Source organism: Homo sapiens, chromosome 12 (assembly GCF_000001405.40).
Source record: "Homo sapiens chromosome 12, GRCh38.p14 Primary Assembly".
Lineage (NCBI taxonomy): Eukaryota > Metazoa > Chordata > Mammalia > Primates > Hominidae > Homo > Homo sapiens.
In genome coordinates, this window is record NC_000012.12 from 109,533,632 (window position 1) to 109,553,714 (window position 20,083).

Consider the following 20,083-nt stretch of genomic DNA (forward strand, 5'->3'; position numbering starts at 1 on the left):
GGCCCTTATCTAGTCCATATCTCAGCAAGGCAGGCAGCTGGACCCCTCAGAGCCAAGTGAGGAGGGCCCCACAGTTCTCACGGCAGGAGAACCAGCCAGCCCCAGAGAGACTGCCCACGGACTCAGCCCTCTCTCGGCAGCCCCTTTCTCTTTCCTTCCTCAGGGAAGGGTACCTGGAGTGGGGGTGGGTACGTGCTGTTTTTAGTGGCGTCTGGCCTCACCAGGGCTCCAGATCTGAGGCAGCATGGGAGAAAGTGAGAGAGTGGGCTCAGGAGGCAGGCAGGCGCAGACTCGAATGCTACTCCTACCCCAGCAGGCTGTGCACGTCCAGGCTCGCTGCTTCATTTCCTCATTGGCCAAAGGAGAAGGAAAGCCTTCAGGGTTACGGAGCTCTGTGTGTCTCAAGCCTGGCCCACTGTGGGTGCTCAAATGAGAGTCCTACTCCCCATAAAAACCCAGTGGCCGCCTCTGGGTGTAGCTGCCTCTCATGATGCAGTTTGAGCCCGTGATGCCACCTTGTACAGGAAGCTACACAGTCCTCGGCCTCCATGCTTAAGGGAAAGTTGGCCCAAGTCATGGTCTGCCACCGGCCACAGCACCGGTGAGGAGGGAGGAGTGCATTCAGAAATGTTTGGGCACCTAACAGTTTTTACAGCATTCTACTTTTTGTCAATTGGTTAACCAGTAATTCGCTGTGAACCGGAAGGCCCCATTTCCAAAAGCTTACTTAGTGCAGGAATTCTCTGTGCAGGCCCCAGGGAGAAGGGGTTCCTTCTCTGGAAGCCAGTCGTCTTGTGTCTGGGGCTTGACCTCGGGTAGTGGTGCCAGGGCAGCGCCCTGCACTCTGCCCAGCATCCAGGGACTGGCCAGATCCCCTCCCTGGGCTCCCTGGCCTTGGCATCAGCCTGGGCTCCCAAACTAGGCCCTTCCCAATTCAAGGCCACGATGTGTGCCTTCAGGACACCGGGGACACTCTGGGCAGCGTCCTCCGGGGCTTCTTCACCATCCGCAAGCGGGAGCCAGGCGGCCGCCTGCCCACCTCCTCCACCTGCTTCAACCTGCTCAAGCTGCCCAACTACAGCAAGAAGAGCGTCCTCCGCGAGAAGCTGCGCTACGCCATCAGCATGAACACGGGCTTTGAACTCTCCTAGCTCCTGTCCCAGCCCTGCCTCCAGGGCTCCTGGGCTGCCAGGGACCTTCAGCTCCCAGAGGCAGTGTGGTCCTGGGAATGTGACCAACATGCCAGGTGACATTGGCCCCTAGACCCTCTCTATAGCCATGAGACTCCTTGTGGCCTCAAGAAATTTAGACGCCCACGACAGCACTACACAGCATCTCCAGGTGATGCCCAAGGCACAGGGCTGCAGAAAATAAACCTCCAGATTCCACCAACACGGGTCCATTCTTCCTGGTGATGGCAGAGGGGCTTCTTTTAGCTAGTTTGATCTTTTGGGAGTCTGTCTTTCCTTAGCCGTCTGAGTGAGCTGTGTATGAACAAGTCCCAGGAGTTCCAAGAGTCTAGAGTGGTTTTTGCAGCATGGGTTGAGTGTACAAAGCCTACTGTGCGTGAGATCCTCTCCTTCCGTTTCTGAAATCTCTTACTCAGGTAAGGCCTCGCCAAGCCTCTATGCACCCCACAAAGTTTCTGCCTCCATGCCGTCCACAGCGCCTCTTCCCAGACAGCCAGGCCCATCTGCTGCCCAGGGAAGCGCAGGCGCCTGCTAGGGACGCTATGGACACCGTGAGTCCAAGGCGCTGCTCCTGCCTTGAAGCCACGCGCTCCACGCCGCGGCCCTCCCATTTTCTGCGTCCTCAGCGGGCTGAGCTGCCAGAGAGTCTTCCCGGACCTATTCCCGTCCTATGCATTCACATTGGCATCCTGGTTTGGGGGAAGAAAAACAACGGCCCTTAGCAGCAGCCCCGTTTCCAGAATGTGCTGCCTGTTCCCCAAAGCCTGCTTGTCCCGCGGAGGACGGCTGCCTTTGACCCTGCTTATTTGTCTCACTGGTTATCTAATGAGGAACAAACACTAACCTAAGGTACACATCCCATCTGGGCGGTGGCTTCACTCCTGAGTCTGCAAAATCCCAGGAAACTTGGGTCTTGCTGCCCATCCTTCCTCAGCACAGGGAACCCGGAAGCCCGTTGCACTGACAGAGGCTCACACCCTCTGGGTTTTTTGTTTTTTTTTTAAACTTCATTTCTCTTCCAACCCATTGTGTTCCTCTGCCCTCATTCTTTACCTTTGTTGTAAGAACTTTAGCTCCAGGGAACTGAGGCAGAGGCCCTGTTTGTGGTCTGTGTTGACAGCCACCCACCCTCTCCCACCTCATGCTCCTGCACCTGCACCACCAAGGTTGATGCCGGATTCGAAGCCAGGAAGGCCCAGTCCCTCCTCTGCTCTCCTCAAAGACGCAAAACATTTTCCAACAAGAGCTGTCACAGTGGCAGCAAAGCAGGGGCCACCCGTCTCCACAGTCCTTCAGAGTTTCAGCTGCATCCTGGTGTCCCACCCAGGTCGAGCCCCCAGGCTTCTGGAAAAGAGTGTGTGCTCTACTTTGATGGAAACATGGCAAGGAATTTAAAGACAGGAATGTATTAATATTATTGAAGGTGTGTTCGTAACCTCTGATTCTGTGGACTTGCCACTTTCTCCAAACGCTCGGTTCCTTTGAAGATTTCTTCTGAACGTGTGTGCGCACGCTGGGCGGGTTCGTGCATACATGCGGGGACCCCAGACTGTCAGCACAGGGAAGATGGATCCCATCCTAATTTTTATCACCTGAAGGTTGGAACCAGTGAGGGACTGGGAGAGAGTGATTTATAAGCACCAATATCAACTTCATGTGGATTTTTGACAAGGAGGGGTAGTTTGTAATTTCATTTAAATTCTTTTCAGCAGCTGGAAATATTGCACTATCTGAAACACTGAATCTCCTTTTGTAACTGGTGTTCACTGACACCTTGATGGCTCTTGATGGCTCTAAAAAGTTGTAGGATTTTTTGTTTTTGTAGCTAACTTATGGATTGAGATGTGATCAAAGGCTTTATTAAATTTGTACTTCAGCATATGATGGCTGCGTTCTGCATTTCATTCCGCCATATGCCTGGACCGTTCACACTTGGGTATCTGGGCTTAGGGAGCATGTAGGCTTCCACAATGGAGGGAAGATGTGGAGGGGCGCAGAGCACATGTCCTCATCTCCCCAGCCAGAGTTCAGGGATGTTGGCAGTCTGTCCTATTTGCTTCCAATTGTGTTTCAAGAAGTAACACATTTCAGATGAGCACCCTCTATGGGCCCATCCCTCTCACCCACTTCCCAGAGGCAGCTGTCACCATAGGTTGGGTGTATATCTTTGCAGTCCATGTTTTACACAGTAATATTCTTTTTTTGTTTTTTTGAGATGGGGTTTTGCCATGTCACCCAGACCAGTCGCGAACTCAGGGGCTCAAGTGATCCGCCCACCTTGGCTTCCCAAAGTGCTAAGATTACTGGCATGAGCCACCATGCCCAGCCAGTAGTAACTTTCAAAAGTGATCAACGGATGTTGAACAAACCCAGATAAGTGTCTGGAGTGAAATTTTACAGCTACTTCTGGGTGTGCCAGGCGTTGTTCCCTTAGTGAGGATTGCACTTGCTGTCTCCCCACAGGACACGCAGCCGTTCTCACTGCATTCCCCAGCCAGGTTTCCTCCGCACCAGGAGCCCAGGTCAGACCTGCCAGGTGTTTGCCCCGCCTTGGTGCTTCTGTCCTGACCCTCGGCAGCTCTGAAGTCCCAGTGGCTTCTCGCTGCTCCCCTGGCCTGGGAAGCCCCTGAGGATCAGAGCACAAACTTGGCTTGTTAGGATCCAGTCAGGAAAGAACCCTGGAGAGGCTTGTGGCCTCTCTGGAAGTCAGATGTCTCAACACCCAAGAAGAATTCATGCACGCAGGCGTCCTCACAAGGAGCGTTCATGTAACTAAAAGAAAAAACAGTGTAACCACCTGCCTCCCCAAAACACACATCGCCAGCCTCCAGTGTGAGGCACACCCACCTAAAACTAAAGCTTTATTCTGTGACATTCTGGCTTTTGTTTTGTTTTGTTTTTTTGAGATGGAGTCTCGCTGTCGCCCAGGTTGGAGTGCAGTGGCGCGATCTCAGCTCACTGCAGGCTCCGTCTCCCAGGTTCACACCATTCTCCTGCCGCAGCCTCCCACATAGCTGGGACTACAGGTGCCCGCCACCTTGCCTGGCTAATTTTTTGTATTTTTAGGAGAGACAGGGTTTCACCGTGTTAGCCAGGATGGTCTTGATCTGACCTCATGATCCCCCCGCCTCGGCCTCCCAAAGTGCTGGGATTACAGGCGTGAGCCACCGCGCCCGGCCAACATTCTGGCTTTTACTTACAAGTTATCACTACAAAGAGAAAGGATGTCTTTATAACCAGGAAAAATAAGTGAGTTTTTAAAATTATTTAAATGGAAATATAATTGTAATATGCTGACAGAACTTGCAAGTGCCTAAGAATAATTAGCTGGAACAGAGTTTGAGAAGCGCTGGCCTCCACTCTTCTGACAGCAGCAGAGCCTGTTAGCAGACAAGGCACTGCTGAAAGCCATAGGGTCTGGACAGCTGGGTTCTCGCCAAGCTTGGCGAGTAAATCCAGGACCCCCTTAAGCCTCAGGCTTATCTCCTGGAAACTTATCAAATTGGCCAGAGTGGCCGGAGAACTGTGGAAGTGGTTCCTTCAGTGCTGTTTTCCAAGAAGCAGAGCGTGGGCTCTGGAATCGCAGAGATGTGTGAGCAAACCCCAACCCTCCACTTCCTGCCCCACGTGGAGGGCAGCCTCCCTGTGTGTTCCTTATCTAGAACACAGGAATCTTGATGTCCCCTCCAGAGCACGTGAGGATTAAATGCAGTTACATATGACGCACCCAGCGCAGCACCTGGCACCAAGTACGCATCCGTTAGTCCTCTTCCTACATTTCCTCACCTTTCACTTTAAGAAAACAGGGCTGCCCATGACCCTGGAGATCAGGCTCGGATTAAGCTTCCAGAGTGGCTCCTGCTGCTGCTGATGATCCCAGCAGGGTGAGGAGATGCTGGATGGAGAGCAGTTATCTGTTGCACTTAGGCAAGATCGGAGGAAAGTCACATTCCCTCATCCACACTGCCGCCTCTGAGGAATCGTCTGAGTAGCACAGAACAGAAGCAAAGTGCCTTTCAGCCAGAAGGATCCAGCCAAGGCGTTTCCAGGCCCCTGTGGCCTCAGGGCACCTCACTGTGCCCCCTACACTGCACATACAATCGCTTGGACTGTGATTCAGAAGAAGCTGCATGGCCAGGCTCGGTAGCTCATGCCTGTAATCTGAACACTTTGGGAGGCTGAGGCGGGCAGATCCCCTGAGGTCAGGAGTTCCAGACCATCCTGGCCAATACGGTGAAACCCTGTCTCTACTAAAAATACAAAAATGACCTGGGTGTGGTGGCGCACACCTGTAGTCCCAGCTACTCGGGAGGCTGAGGCTGGAGAATTGCTTGAACCCAGGAGGCGGAGGTTGCAATGAGCCAAGATCACACCACTGCACTCCAGCTTGGGTGACAGAATGAGACTCCGTCTCAAAAACAAAAAAACCCCACAAAAACAAAACTGCACAGCAGCCTAGGCGGCATTCATAGTTCTCACCACCCTCTGGAGCGTGGGGTCAGAATGGCATCCTTTGCTTCACGGCAGTCATCCTGACTGTTACACTTGTTGAGAGCATGTGCTCCAGAGCCCCAGCTGAGTGCAGATCTTACGAGGGCATTAGAGAGAGCAAGAGCCTCAGAGCATCCTGCCGCTGGGTGCAAACCCCAGCTCTGCCGCCCACGATCTGGGAGGCCGGTGGAAAGTTTCCTGGCCCCTCAGACCTGCAGTTTCCTCTTCCATGAAACGAGGATAGCAGCACCCACCATGCAGTCTTGCCGTGAACCACAGAGAAATGGGCTGAAAAGCCCCAGTCTGTGCCATCTATGAGCCATCAATGACTCATGGCTGTGATAACTGTCATTATTTTGTTCCAGGGATCGAATTGACATTCCTTCTGGAGTTTGTTTTTGAAACTCCTTGCAAGACGCTTTGGCTGACGTTAACAGGACATCCCGGGGATCCTCTGCTGGGCTTCGCTCAGCCCCTGGTGTGCAGGCTCCCTGTGTGCCCACACCCCAGCTATTCCCGAGCTTCCATTATGCACTGGGGGCAGCAGCTCCTCCACCCGGGGACCAGCAGTTGCAGTTCCATCATGCTTTTCTTACCGTGACAGTCCAAGTGTTTTCTGAGCTGTAGGGAGACTCAAAGCCTTGGGCATACTGGGATGGGGTCTGTGTCAGCTTATAGACCTTCCACCGAGAGAGCCAGCCTGCTGGAGCCCACCAGCAACGACAGAGAAACCTCTCTGAAGATGTGCCCTGCCTCCTTGACCCCAGAGAATCCTGCAGAGGAAGCTGAAAGCGTTCATTCTGCTGCCGAAGTCTTCTGCTCCTTGGCTGCCCCAGGCCCTGAGTCTGCCTAGATGTATGTGCAGGGTTTGGGTGGGGGATTTTTGGTTTTTGTTTGTTTGTTTTTTGAGACAGGGTCTTGCTGTGTTGCCCAGGCTGGATCAAGATTGCCCAGGCGCAATCTTGGTTCACTACAACCTCCGCCTCCGAGGCTCAAGCAATCCTCCCACCTCAGCCTCCCAGGTAGCTGGGACCACAAGTGTGCATCACCACAACCGGCTAGTTTATTTTGTATTTTTTATAGAAACAGGGTTTTGCCATATTGCCCACGCTGGTCTTGAACTCCTGGGCTCAAGCAATCCACCTGCCTTGGTCTCCCAAAGTTCTGGGATTACAGGCATGAGCCATTCACTGCACCGGGCCCCCTATGTGCAGGGTTACCAGTCAGGCTGCCTTCTCCAAATGCTTCTAAATCTGGTTTTTATGGGGCCATGGCAGTGGCCACTGAGTAAAGGAAGACACTTGTCGGAATGGCACATGGATGTTTAAAAAACTCAGTGTTCTGGAAACCCAGTGTCCTTGGCCTTCAGACCACGGGCATGTGAAAGAGAAGCTATTGTGAAGTCATTCTGGCCCTTCCAGGACTGCCCCTCACACAGAGTCCTAAACTAGCCTGCCTTATGCTGGGGAGGGACAAGTTATTTTACAACAAGAACATTGTAGCCAGAACTTGTGTGTTGTAGCCAGAACTTGTGCTGTTGCAAAGAGCAGAAGCTGGCAGACCAGCTCAGAGCCAGAGCAGGTGGTGAGGAGGTATGAGAGCGGCTCTGGGACCCACGCAAGAAGTGCGGTGGGCGGGAGCTGAGGTGGTCCTCTCCTCCTCTTGGGCCACATGAGCCCTTCTCTGCACGTCTCTGGCTCCAGCGTCCCCATGAACTGCCTCTGAGTCCACCATCCTTGCAGCTATGCAGCCTTGCGCTCCTGGGGCCTCTAGCCAAACCACTGCTGCATCCCTCAGACCATGTTCCAGCGTGGTCCACCTGCCTGCGGCTGAGTGGCCTTCAGCTAGGGTCCCCTCACTAGTCTGGTCAGCTCTGATGAGACAGGCTAGGATCCTGCAGGCAGCAGGGGCTGTAGACACAGCAGTTCCCAGATAAAGAGGCCGCAGAAGACCAAGCAGTGACCCAGGCCGGTGACGGGCAATGTGGACTAGTGGTCAAGGGCACAGGCCTTGACCTTGGACCTGTACTTGAGCTCGGATCACCACACCCACCCTCAGTGACTTGAGAGTAGGCAGCATTTCACTTCTCGGAGATTCATTTTCCCCAGCTGTAAAGTAGTGAATAACAGTTCCTGCCTGCCATGAGGATTAAACGAGGTCACATCTGTTAAGCACCTGGCAAATTATAGTTGCCCAGTAAATGCTATCTCCCCTTCTTCCTTGGCCTTGGGGCCAGGCAGGGTGGAGTATTGGGTCAGAAGGTAACTCTCATTGCTGTTCTAAAACAATTCCATTGGCTCCTATATTGGTTTCCCATGGCTGCTGCAACAAATCACAACAAGCCGGGTGGCTTAAAACAACGGAAATGTATTCTCCTCGGACAGTTCTGGCCAGAAGCCTGAAATCAAGGTGCCCACAGGCAGCACTCCCTCTGGAGGCTCTGGGGAGAAGCCTGCCCTGCCTCTTCTAGCTTCTGGTGGCCCCTGCGTGCTTGGCTGTAACTGTATCACTCCCATCTCTGCCTCCATCCCCATATAGTCTTCCCTCTAGGGCTTCCTCTTTCTCCTTCTCTTAGAAGGACTTGTCCTTGAATTAGGACCCACCCTCACCCAAGATGATCTCATCTTGTGGTCCTTACCTTAATTACATCTACAAAGACCTGTTTCCAAAAAAGGTCCCATGCACAGGTTCTGGGGGTTAGCACTTGGACAGATTGTTCAGGGGGACACCATTCAACCCACTACAACTGTCTTCCAGAGCAAGTGTGGCAGGAGGTGATTCTTCATGCCATGAACCACCACATGCTCACAGATCCTAAACAATCTCATAGGGTGAGGGGGTGAAAAGGAGAATTGCTTATTCAAGGACGGGAAATATTTGGCGCCTGTGTCATCACTGCCTCCTCCTCACCCATGGCAGACATTACTAATTGATTCCTGCACTGTGTCTTCATGTGCTGCTTTCAGCAGTCCATGGGTATGGGCCTGGGAAGCTAAACCTGTTTGCCATTTCCTGGCTTATGTCTTGTCTCAAAAGTGTAGTAGAAATAATAATAGTCATAATTAACATTTACTCAGGTGCCAGCCACTTTTTCTTGGAATATGTCACCAAATCCTCTCAATAGCTCTGAGATCATACTATTAATCCCGTCCTCAAGATGGTGTATGGGTTGAATTCTGTCCCAAAAAAGATGCATCCTAACCCCCACTACCTCAGCATGTGGCCTTATTTGGAAATAGGGTTGTTGTAGATGTAACTAGTTCAGATGAGGTCATATAGGAGTAGGGTGGGACCCTAATCCGATGTGACTGGTGTCCTTACAGAAAGAGAGGACTCGGCCATGTGAAGACAGAGGCAGAGACTCAAGTGGGGAACCTTCAGGCCAAGGAACGCAGGGACTTCCAGCCATCACCCATAGCCAGGAGAGAGGCTAGGAACAGATTCTCCTTCACAGCCTGGAGAGGAACCAACCCTGTGAATCTCTTGATTTCAGACTTAACAGCTTCTAGAATTGTGAGAGGATGAATGTCTGCTGCTTAAGTCCCCGAGTTTATGGTGCTTTGTTCCGTCAGCCACAGGAAACTAGTATAGATTTTGAGACCAGACAGATTTGTCACACACCCAAGGTCACATGTTTGGAAGAGGTCAAACCAGGATTTGAACTTGGGCTGGTGGGCATCACAGGAACCGGCAGCTGCTGCTCAGCCCCAGCAGCTGGCCGCCCTGCCCAGGCTAGATACCATGTGGCCAGGCTCCCCACTTTTCAAAAGAAGCCACAAATTCCAATGTCTGTGAAATCTCCAGATTTAAAAATTGTTGGCAGATTGAAAATCTGAAACACCACTGTTCAGGCCTCGGGAAATACAGAAGGGCTGCGTGTGCGTGTGGCTTGTCTGAACACTGCAGATGTGTCAGACACTGGAGCCAAACAGTCTCCACAGTGTAGAGTGACAGGTGGAGCTGGACAAGATGATGTTCACTGGAATAATCCACGGACCTGTCACCAGGTGCCAGAAACCAGCCTCATGCAGACAGGCTCCAGGGGAGTGGCTCGGCACGGGGTCAGCGGCTGGTAACACAGCAGGACTCGGCTGAGGCCCTAACGGTTTGGGGTTGCATTAATTGTGGGAGAGTGTCTAGAGTGAAGGAGGTAATAGTCCTATTCTGTTCTCTGTGGCTCACACCCTACCTGGAATCGATCCTTTGTTTCTCTCCAGGAGCCACACTTTAAGAAGGATGCAGGAGGCTGGGCGTGGTGGCTCACGCCTGTAATCCCAACACTTTCGGAGGCAGATGGATGACTTGAAGTCAGGAGTTCGAGACCAGCCTGGCCAACATGGCGAAACCTCGTCTCTACTAAAAACACAAAAATTAGCCCGGCATGGTGGCAGGCACCTGTAGTCTCAGCTACTCTGGAGGCTGAGGCAGGAGAATCACTTGAACCCGGGCGGCAGAAGGTTGCAGTGAGCTGAGATTGCGCCACTGCACTCCAGCCTGGGTGACAGAGCTAGATTGTCTAATAAAAAAAAAAAGTGGGGGGTAGCAGGAAAAACTAGCCCACAGCCAGAGATGGTACCATAAGGAGGGTTGGAGCGGGCCTCTCAAAGCAAGCCTAGCAGTGTACCCAAGCTACATGTAGACGATGGGCCACCCGAGATGTTAGCAGCATCCTGAGGGGGTGTCGGCCTCTGTCTTGGAGGGTGCTGGCTTAAGGGTTGAGCCTCAGACTGCAGGGTGTGTTTGGGAAGCAGCTGCCCACAGCTCTGGTCATTAAAGAAGAGAGCGAGCTGGTTCTTCTGGCCCCAGCAATAACAACAAAACAACCTGGAGTATGGTCCCTGCAGCCCTTCCCAGACACAGAGTTCTCATTCTCCAAACGTGGACATCCGGAGGGACACACGGCCTTACGTGGCCACCAGCAGGCCATGGACGGACATTGCCCAGCCCACGTTGCTGCCACAGGTGGACACTCAGAGCGAGAGAGAGGGAAGTTGGGGTGCTGGTGGGAATGGGTGTGGACTGGAATGTTCTAGAGGTATGGGGGGCCTGAGACATCTTGTGAAGTGGGGCGGGGGGCGGGGCTTCTCCATGAGGCCAAAGGTGAGCAGGCCTCTGGGTGTTTCAGAAGAACTGCCCTGGCAACATGCAAGTACAGTTCTAGCAGAGACGCCAAATCAACTGTCAAAACCGAGCCACTGCCACCCCACAAAGCCAGGAAAAGCTTCTAACTGACAATCTTGGGTAAGTCGGCCCTCAGCCTCTGCATCTCCCACCACAGACCAAGGCTCCCAGATCCCCCCAGCCCATGCACTCCATGTGGTCCCCTCTGTGTGCCTGGATACATCGGGACTCTTGGGTGTCACTGGGGATTCCTGCCCTGCCACATGGGGTAAGCTACTGGTAATTACTCAGCTGTGGGAGCTCCTGGTCATCAGCCTTCAAACACAGAAACTCAGGTATTTTTCCCAGCAGACCCTGACCAGCCTCTGTATTTCTCCATAACGCTGGTCGGCTGGGCACAGCGATCTTGGCAACAGATTTTGCGAAATAAACTTGGTCAGTGGATCCCAGTCAACAAAATGTTTTTCCATCTGTTACCCACTTCCTCCTGCCTGTGAAGGGGCAGTGCTCTCTCCTTCTTATAGGTGAGGCTCTGAGAGGTGGAGTGAGTGACTTGCCCAGGGACTCAAAGCCAGGATATGAGGAACTGGGATGTAAGCCCAAGCCTTTGACCAGGAAGGTGACCTCACTCACTCACTTGCCTTCCCTGATCGTCAGAGGCCTGGACAGAAGCCTTCTGTCTCCCAGAGGGGCTAGTCCCACTGACTCTCCTGACCTGCTCCCATCCCACTAGGGACACTGTCCAGGGGAGGGAGCACACCCCATGTGGGGCTTGGTGTGAAGTCTGCTGGGTGGCTTTGTCACATTGCAGATGGTGCCAGATGAGCCGGGCCCCGCCCAGGAAGCCAGACTGCCAGGGAGTTCAGACTCAGCCAACAAACAGACCCACAGGGCCTCCTGTGCCCCAGGCTGGGTGCTGAGTTACAGCCGTGCACACGGTGGACGTGATCCCTGCCCTACAGAGCTCACTCTCTGGTGGGAAAGAGTCAGAACTAATTCAAGGAGGAGGTGTATGGCCACATCCTGTGATCAGCGTCCCTGGCATCTAGTGCTGTGCTATTCTGATGCCCACTCAAGTGGGGAAAGCTGAGGTCAGGAGCTGGTCATTCCCATGCCCAAGGCCCCAGAGTCAGTTAAGTGGCAGAGCCAGGATTCAAACCCTGGTCTGCCACACTCCAGAGCCCTCACTCGGTTTGAGCAGGCAGAAGAGGGGTGGGAGAACATTCTAGGCAAAGGGCTCAGCTTGAGCCAAGCCCCAGGGGCTGCTCTGTCCCTTATCTGGAGCCCGCTGCCTCCACTGCTTGTCCCACTTACCCTTGCCGGGGATGCTGCAAACTGACAGACACACCCATTTTGCCAGTGAGTTCCCACAGCATTTTAAAGGACTTCTTCAGGACCCTAGAGCCCTGGTCTCCCCAAGGCTGCAGAGCAGCAGCTGCCCCCCAGGCACAGAGCTGAAAGGCAGAGCTGGATTTCAGGGTGTGCTGAGTAAAGGGCCGATCTACCCTGCACTTTGGAAGCTCACCGGGTAGAGGGAGGCCAGAGGAATTTCAGGGACTCCACGACTTCCTTAGCTTATCATTCATGTCCCAACAGGCTGCAGCCTGTCTCCCTACCAGCTAAGGCAGAGTTGCAAGTGGGACAGAATCAGTGCCCACTCCAAACATGGCTCCTTGGCTGCATCTGGGAACGGGTTCCATTAGGTGGTGTGTGGAGGGTCTCAAACATCTTAACAGTGATGGTGAATGCGCCAGTGCCTCTGCAGCAGGGGCCAGAGTTCCTGTCTCCCCTCCTGGTTTGCTATCACAGGGGCCCCTGGTGAATAGGCTGGGTGGCTCATCCCAGCGAGTGTTCAAACTCAAAAGCTGGATGGCTAGAAACTGCCCACCTGCACCAAACCACCATCAGAAGTGGTCTTTATCAGCCAGGGCAACAGAAGCCAGCTCTGCCTCACTTAGAAAAGAAATGTATTGGGCAGTATTGAGGGCTGGAAGCCCAGGCCACAAGCAGAATGGGAGCCAGGGCAGTTCAGGGGACCTGTGCAGTTCAGCCTGAAGCTGGGTCTCTTTAGGATGCTGTGGGCGTGAATGAACCAGCTCCAGCCAGCAACCCATCCTCGCTCAGTGCATGCAGGGGTCTTTAGGGAAATTCAGAGAAAATTCAGGGATTGAAGTAGACTGGGCAAGGCACTGATGTCATTCATTCTTTCATACTCATTTCAATAAATATTTTTGGGCACCTGCTGTGTGCACAGCCTGTTCTAGGCACTGGGATTCAATCTCATTTTGTTGTTCTTGAGACTGAGTCTCATTCTGTTGCCCAGGCTGGCAATGTGGCACGATCTCGGCTCGCTGCAACTTCTGCCTCCTGGGCTCAGGTGATCCTCCCACCTCAGCCTCCCGAGTGGCTGGAACTACAGGTGCACGCCACCACACCTGGCTAATTTTTGTATTTTTTGTAAAGACAGAGTTTTGCAATGTTGCTCAGGCTGGTGTTGAACTCCTGGGCTCAAGCGATCCTCCTGCCTCAGCCTCCCAAACTGCTGGGATTACAGGTGTGAGACACCACACCCAGCCGGATTCAGAGTATTTTGAGAGAGACAGACACCAAAGGAGAAACCAATAAGATAATTTCTGGTGTGTTGAAAATGAGACAAAGAGCCCCATGGAGATTGTATCCCATGGGAAGAAGTAAATCCTCAAAAAGAAATTGAAGCAATTGGATGGTGGGTCCCCAAACAGCAAATATCCACAAGAGGCGTCCTGCCCACACTGGCCCCAGGGCAGTGATCAGGATTCAGATTCCAGAACTAGACTAGAATTCAAATCTAGCCTCAGCCACTTTCTCATCACGACCTGGAGCAAGTCACTTCGTCTTTCCAAGCTTGCAAAATTGGGATGATCACTCTTCCCTGGTTGCTGAGATCAAACAAGGTCATACATGCAGTGCCGGCCATGCAGGCATCATCGAGTTCCATCCTGAGAACTCGATCACGTCCTGGGTGCATGTGCGCGTACGCGCGCACACACATGTACACACGCACACGCATGCATGCATGCACGGTGGGGCACCCAAGCCGATGCCCGCTCCTCGAGGCTGGGGGCTATGCATGCCTGACCCTCTGGTGTATTCAATTATAGGTTTAGCCACATTCATTCCTCCCTCCTTGTAGGTAAGATTTATTAAAATACCCAATCACAGAAATAGCCCTGCTCCCTGACAGCAGCCAACCCACAGCGAAACCACGTTTCCTTGAACCCTCCCCCAAACCCCAACACACGCCAAAACCCTATAATAAGTCCTTGCACAGACCCTCTTCCTGAGGCACCCCAGGTTCCCCACGGTGCGCGTGCTCCCTTATTGCAACAAGACAATAAATCTGACTTTGTTCGACTACAGGTGTGTTCTTGGTGGTCTTTGGCTGCAGGGCACTTTAAACCCAAAAATGTCCCCTGTACAAAATATTTGCAGCCACTTCAGGGGAGGGGAGCTGGAACTGGTTTGTCACACAGCTGGGAACAGCACCCCAGGGAACAACGCAATCAAAAGGAGGTGGTTTCCAGAGCTGCAGTCCCTAGACTGGGGATGGAGTGGGGGTGCGGGATGTCACACCATTTCTCACTGGCTTTAGTCTTAACTTTTCGTGCTTTAATGTGAAATGTAATTACAGATTCAGAGTTATGGTGGTGAGCTCGTCAGGGCTAATTAATTAGTCAGATTTATAAGTATTTGGTTCTCAGAGATCAATGACCCTGATGGGTCGCCTGAAAGCTCTGAGAAATCCCCTTCCTGATAGCTAGTTTTCTTGGGGAGCGGTGGGCTTGGGAGAGCTGCTTTTGCTTTGGCGGCTGGTTGAGAGGGACAGCCTGACCACTCTCAAGCAGCCTGGAGACCATAGGTGCCTCTGAAGTCCCCACACCTTTGAGATCTGTGAGGGCTCTGCCCTAGGAATCAGAAATGTCAAATAGAGGCCACTCGCTCCGCTGCCTCTCCCAGAGGCCACGGCAGACATTAGTAATGGATTCCCAAACCCCTCCCTGTTGAATCTGGACCCAGCACAGCCTGCCAGGCAATCACTTGGAATTGGTGTCTCTTTCCTACCCCTGGGATAAGTCCTTCCCTGCTCTCAGCAGAACAGAAGAGAAAGGAAACTGGATTTTGACACCAGAGGCTGGGATTGAGGTGGGTTTTGCCACTTGCTAACTGGCACACTGGGCTCATCACACTACCTATGGGGGTGCCACTTATCCAGGAAGAGTTAGGGTGATAATCCAGGATGAAAATCTCTATGAGATCACAAACATGAAGGTTCTCTGTCTACTCTCAACCCCTGTACAAGATAAAGATGGGGCAACCAACAGAGGAGGAAGAGATGCCAACATCTCAACATAGTGGGGAAAAGCTGGCGCAGCGATCCCCCAGGGGCAGCTCAGTGGAGGCAGGTTCATTTTTCTTTCAACCTCTTTTGCCCTAGAATGGAAGCCAGGCTTCTACATGCACGCTGGACTCTGCACAGCCAGCTGCCTCCGACAGGGAAAACGGTGCACATTCTCCAGGCTTCCAGACTTCGGGGCTCCCTGATGGCTTTGGCTACTGGAGGGTACCCTCCCCACATGAGGGGGCTGGAATGTATCAGGGAGTATCACCCTCTAAGAAGCTTCTCTCTAGTCTCCAGCCATCCCACGGGAGGTAGATGGTTTATTTACAGGCAGAGAAACCACTTGTCAGTTTCCTTTCATTCATGTGTATTACACAGTAAGCCTTTTGTCAAATCCAGCCCAAATTCATTGTAGAAAAATTAGAAAATCCAGACGAAATGAAAATGAACATTAAAACCACCCATCTTCCCACCACTGAGAGATACATATTAGTAACACATGCATTTTTCTATGGTATATAAACACATGTATGTTTCTTTTTAGGATTTGGGTCATTCTATATGTAACATTTTGCAATTTAGGTTTTTTTTTCACTTTATAATAGTGAACGCCCTTTCATAGAAGTAAATATGTAGACACCATCATTTTCAGTGGCTTTATGGTATTTCTTACAGTCCCTTATTGTTAATATTTTACTTATTTAATTATCCAGCTCCCTATTGTTGGACATTGTCTTCCAATTTTTCACTGTAATGAGCAGCACTTTTCTGCACTGGAAAAAACAAAAACAAAAACAAAAAACCCTTGCAGTTTCACCAGTGTGACTATTTCCTGCACTGAAAAAACAAAAACAAAAAAGCCAAAAAAAAAAAAAAAAAACTCTTGCAGCTCCACCAATGTGTCTATTTCCTTCACAAAAATTCTCAGACACAGAGTTGCAGGACTGTAAGGTACACACCTCTCTAGGACTTTCATGCACATTGCCAAATTGCCCTCCTGAAAGTTCATACCGATCTCCACTCCCTGCAACCGTGAGAGTCAACATTTCTCTCTCCCCGCTGAAGTCAGCAGGTGGAAAGCCATAGGCTCAGGACTCTTTCCAGCTGCTGGGATCCTGCAGCTGGACCCCCGAGGGCCATAGAAATACAGTTCTCTCTCTTCCACTCCCCAGTCAAAGCACCTTGAGAGAGTCCCTGGCCGGGCCGGGGCAGGGTCCTGAGACCACCTGGCATGCCCACTCGCAGCCCTTACCTCCTCCCTCTCCCTGTGCACGCCTGGATGTCTTTTCTCAAGGCCCGATGCTCACACCGTGTGGCAGGGTAGCAAGCTTTTGAGTTATAGTGAACCTTATTTCCCTCTACAGCTCCCACGGAGTTAACAGATGTACGCACGTCTGAGGCAGTCATGCGGCAAGAGACTTTGGGCCCAATCCTTTCTGTTTTGACAGTGTGTAATCGAGGTGAAGCCATAAATTTTATAAACAAGAATAAACGACCCTTAGCAACATATGTCTGCTTGACCCTTCCAAGGTGATTGTAAATAAAGGCACCTGCTGACCAGTGAGGGCCATCGGCACTGCAGATGGACAGTGATGAGAGCCGAAGGACCGGTGCCTTGGGAGCTTGCACTGGGAGGCATTTCGGCAGTGAGGGGCGGGGGGAAGAGGTCACCTTGCCCCCCGCTCGGGTCCTGAGTCAGTTAGACACCTTCATGCTACTTATGTACTCCGTTCTCCAGGGTGCCTTTGCCCCGTGCTGCCTTGAATTGGCATTTGCTTCTTACCCTTCCTCGGAGAGGACACTTGTAGCTGTGGCAACTAAGTTCCTCCTGGGGGTTTGTTTTTGAGACAGGGTCTCGCTTTGTTGCCCGGTCTGGAGTGCAGGGGCACGATCACAGCTCACTCGGCCTCAAGCTCCTGGGCTCAAGCGATCTTTTCACCTCAGTCTCGAGTAGCTGGGACTACAGGTGCGCACATCAATCCTGGGCTTTTTTTTTTTTTTTTTTTTTTAAAGAAACAGGGTCTCACTATGTTGCCCAGGCTGATCTCAAACTCCTGGCCTCAAGTGATCCTCCCGCTTTGGTCTCCCGACATGTCAGGAGTACAGGCAAGAGCCACCGCACCCAGCCTCTTCCAGGTTTTTGGTAGTCCCTTCACTTCCCCCAGAGAAGAAGCCCTGACCCACTTGATTGCCAGTCACGCCCTCACTGCCAACTGTGCCAGGGCGGCCACCCCACGGGGACCTGAAGAGTAGGGTCCTTGTCTTGGCTTTGCCTCTGCCCACAGGGAGCATGCTGGAGACAGGCAGATCCGAGTTCAAATCCAAGTTGGACTTCTTCCTCTCTGCGTGACACCAGCCAAGGTGCCGTCTCCCTGTGCCTCGGTTTCTGAGTCTATGACGCAAAGGTACTAACATCCACTTGGTGGGGTTGTTATGGGGAATACATGCCAAGCATGCAAGGAAGGTGCTCTCCAAGGTTAGCTATGCTGAGATGGTTTAAAAAGCTCTGGTGGTAAGGAGAGCTTAGTAAGTGTCAGCTGTTGACAGTATCATTATACCCAGTGTCACCCCCATGGACACTGTGTGACTTTGAGCAAGTGACTTTACCCTTGGAGCCCCCGTTTCCTCACCTGTGAAATGGGGAGGATAATTGTATGTACCTTGTAGGGTTCTGAGAACTAGAAAGACATGAACACCCTGGCACTGTAGTACAATTGAGCATAGAGCTAGGTGTTGAGGAAATGCCTGTCATGGTGTTTGAGGCACAGAGCCCTGATTTAAAGCCTGGTTCTGCCTCCTAGCTGTCTGACCTTGAGAAACTCCTATCTCCTCTCTGGGCCTCAGTTTCCTCATCTGTAAGTTGGGGGTGATAATATTAATAGTTCCACCTCCATGAGCTCTTGACATAATTAAATGAACTATTGAATGTAAGGTTCTTAGCAAGATGCCTGGACATAATCAGTGCTCTATGTGTGGTCCTTATTAAGATGTACTTATTAAGTTCTCCTCTCTGCTGGGCAAGGTGGCTCACGCCTATAATCTCAGCACTTTGGGAGGCCAAGGCAGGTGGATCACTTGAGGTCAGGAGTTCGAGACCAGCCTGGCTAACATGGCGAAACCTTGTCTCTACTAAAAATACAAAAAAAAATTAGCCAGGCATCGTGATGCATGCCTATAATCCCAGCTACTCAGGAGGCTGAGGCCGGAGAATCACTTGAACCCAGGAGGTGGAGGTTGCAGTTGAGCCGAGATCACGCCATCGCACTCCAGCCTGGGTGACAGAGCAAGACTCGGTCTCAAAAAAAAAAAAAAAAAAGGCCAGGCGCAGTGGCTCACACCTGTAATCCCAGCACTTTGGGAGGCCGAGGTGGGCAGATCACCTGAGGTCAGGAGTTTGAGGCCAGCCTGGCCAACATGGTGAAACCCCATCTCTACTAAAGATACAAAAAATTATCTGGGTGTGGTAGCATGGGCCTGTAATCCCAGCTACTCAGGAGGCTGAGGCAGGAGAATCGCTTGAACCCGGGAGGTGGAGGTTGCAGTGAGCTGAGATCATGCCATTGCACTCCAGCCTGGGTGACAGGGTGAGACTCCATCTCAAAAAAAAAAAAAAAATAGTTCTCCTCTCCAGGCCTCAGTTTCCTCATTTATAAAATGGGAGCAATGATGTCTGAGACCGTGTTCAGCTCTCATTGTCCTGCAATTCACTCTCACTTTCACTTTGGCCCTGTGTTCCTGGAGCCACATCCCCATCTTCTCATCTGATTGTGCCTGGCCACCTCTGGAGGCCACCTGTCTCCCCCACCCACTCAGCAAGCCTGAGGGGCCAGAGGTGCTGCCATGCTGTCCTCAGCGTCACCTGGGGATGAGCTTTTAGAACGTGCTTTGAAAAGGGTCAAATATGATTGAACAACAATAGCTATTTTTTGGAGCTGCTATCATGTCTGGGGCCTGTGGACTTATTTCTGAACTCTTGGAAATTGGTATTATTATCCTATTATAAAAGATAAAGAGGCTTTGAGTGGTTAAACCATTTGCTTAAGGAGATGCTGGAAGTGACAAAGATGGAATCTGAATTCAAATAGTAGTAGTAATAGCAAACAACTGTAATAACAGGAGCTAATATTTGCCAGGGGGCAATATTACTCTTTTAAGTATTACCTCATTAAACAATCCCAGTGACCCATGGGGTGGATGTTATGATTCCCATTCTATAGGTGGAGGAGCAAGACCGAGACAGATGGAATGACTTGCCCAGTCACCAAGGCAGGAGGTGACAAAGCTGGCCTTGAACCTGAGCCTGCCTGGGGCCAGTGCCCAAGCCAGCTGTTTGACAGTCCTTCCCTGCACCCCACAACCCTACAAGCATCAAAGGTCACCCAGCAGCCTCTCCCAGCCAGCCCCAAGTGCATCTTCTCACCCTTCCAGGCTGGAGCTATCTGACCCTGAAACAGGCTGCTGAAGGCAGCCTTGGGAATCCTGACTTAGCTCCCGAAGAGGGTCGCATGGGTTCTCTTAGAAAAGGGATTCTTACCGGGAGGTTCCATGGACTTCCTATGACTGGATGCAAACTTGTGAATATGTGTGTGTGCATTCCAAAGGTGACAAACCACAGCTTGAGAAGTTTCTGATTCTGTGGAATGGGAGAACACGAGGGATGTCCCCAAAGTTTCTAGGTCTCCGCAATCTGCCTGTCCCTGCCTCTGTTGGACTTTAGCACTATCTTCCAGGAGGACTCTGAGAGAAGAAAAGCAATAGGCCAAGGCAAGTTAAAACTGTGCCGCCTGCCTCTAGCTGGACTGACTGCAAAGATGCATTTATTCCAGCTTGTGTCAGTATTGCCAGAAGATTCTCAGGCCCCGCCAGAGGGGAGGGATGAGCCACAAATCCTTCCAGGCACTGA

The 20,083-nt window shown here is 51.8% G+C and overlaps 1 protein-coding gene across 17 annotated transcripts in view, besides 2 other annotated features; it reads left to right on the forward strand.

Annotated features, from left to right (window-relative positions):
* The window catches only part of UBE3B (ubiquitin protein ligase E3B), a 70,196-nt gene extending 55,998 nt beyond the window's left edge, over window positions 1–14,198 (forward strand). For 4 of the 17 annotated variants that reach the window (XM_006719681.4, XM_047429847.1, XM_047429846.1 and 1 more), the window contains one exon: window positions 314–3,071. In XM_006719681.4, coding sequence (XP_006719744.1) covers window positions 314–433 — 120 coding nt within the window. In that variant the 3' untranslated portion in view covers window positions 434–3,071. Of the gene's footprint in view, window positions 1–25; window positions 3,072–6,046; window positions 6,074–9,898 lie in introns of those variants that run through there. The other 13 variants (NM_130466.4, XM_005253987.3, NM_183415.3 and 10 more) reach the window with 5 other exon arrangements.
* Window positions 5,529–6,030: an enhancer, noted in NCBI's record as "H3K4me1 hESC enhancer chr12:109976965-109977466 (GRCh37/hg19 assembly coordinates)". NCBI's record gives its function as "activates a minimal SCP1, AML or CMV promoter by ChIP-STARR-seq in primed H9 embryonic stem cells {active_cell/tissue: H9 hESC(primed)}" and the evidence as "EXISTENCE:reporter gene assay evidence [ECO:0000049][PMID:30033119]".
* Window positions 7,479–8,041: an enhancer, noted in NCBI's record as "H3K27ac-H3K4me1 hESC enhancer chr12:109978915-109979477 (GRCh37/hg19 assembly coordinates)". NCBI's record gives its function as "activates a minimal SCP1, AML or CMV promoter by ChIP-STARR-seq in primed H9 embryonic stem cells {active_cell/tissue: H9 hESC(primed)}" and the evidence as "EXISTENCE:reporter gene assay evidence [ECO:0000049][PMID:30033119]".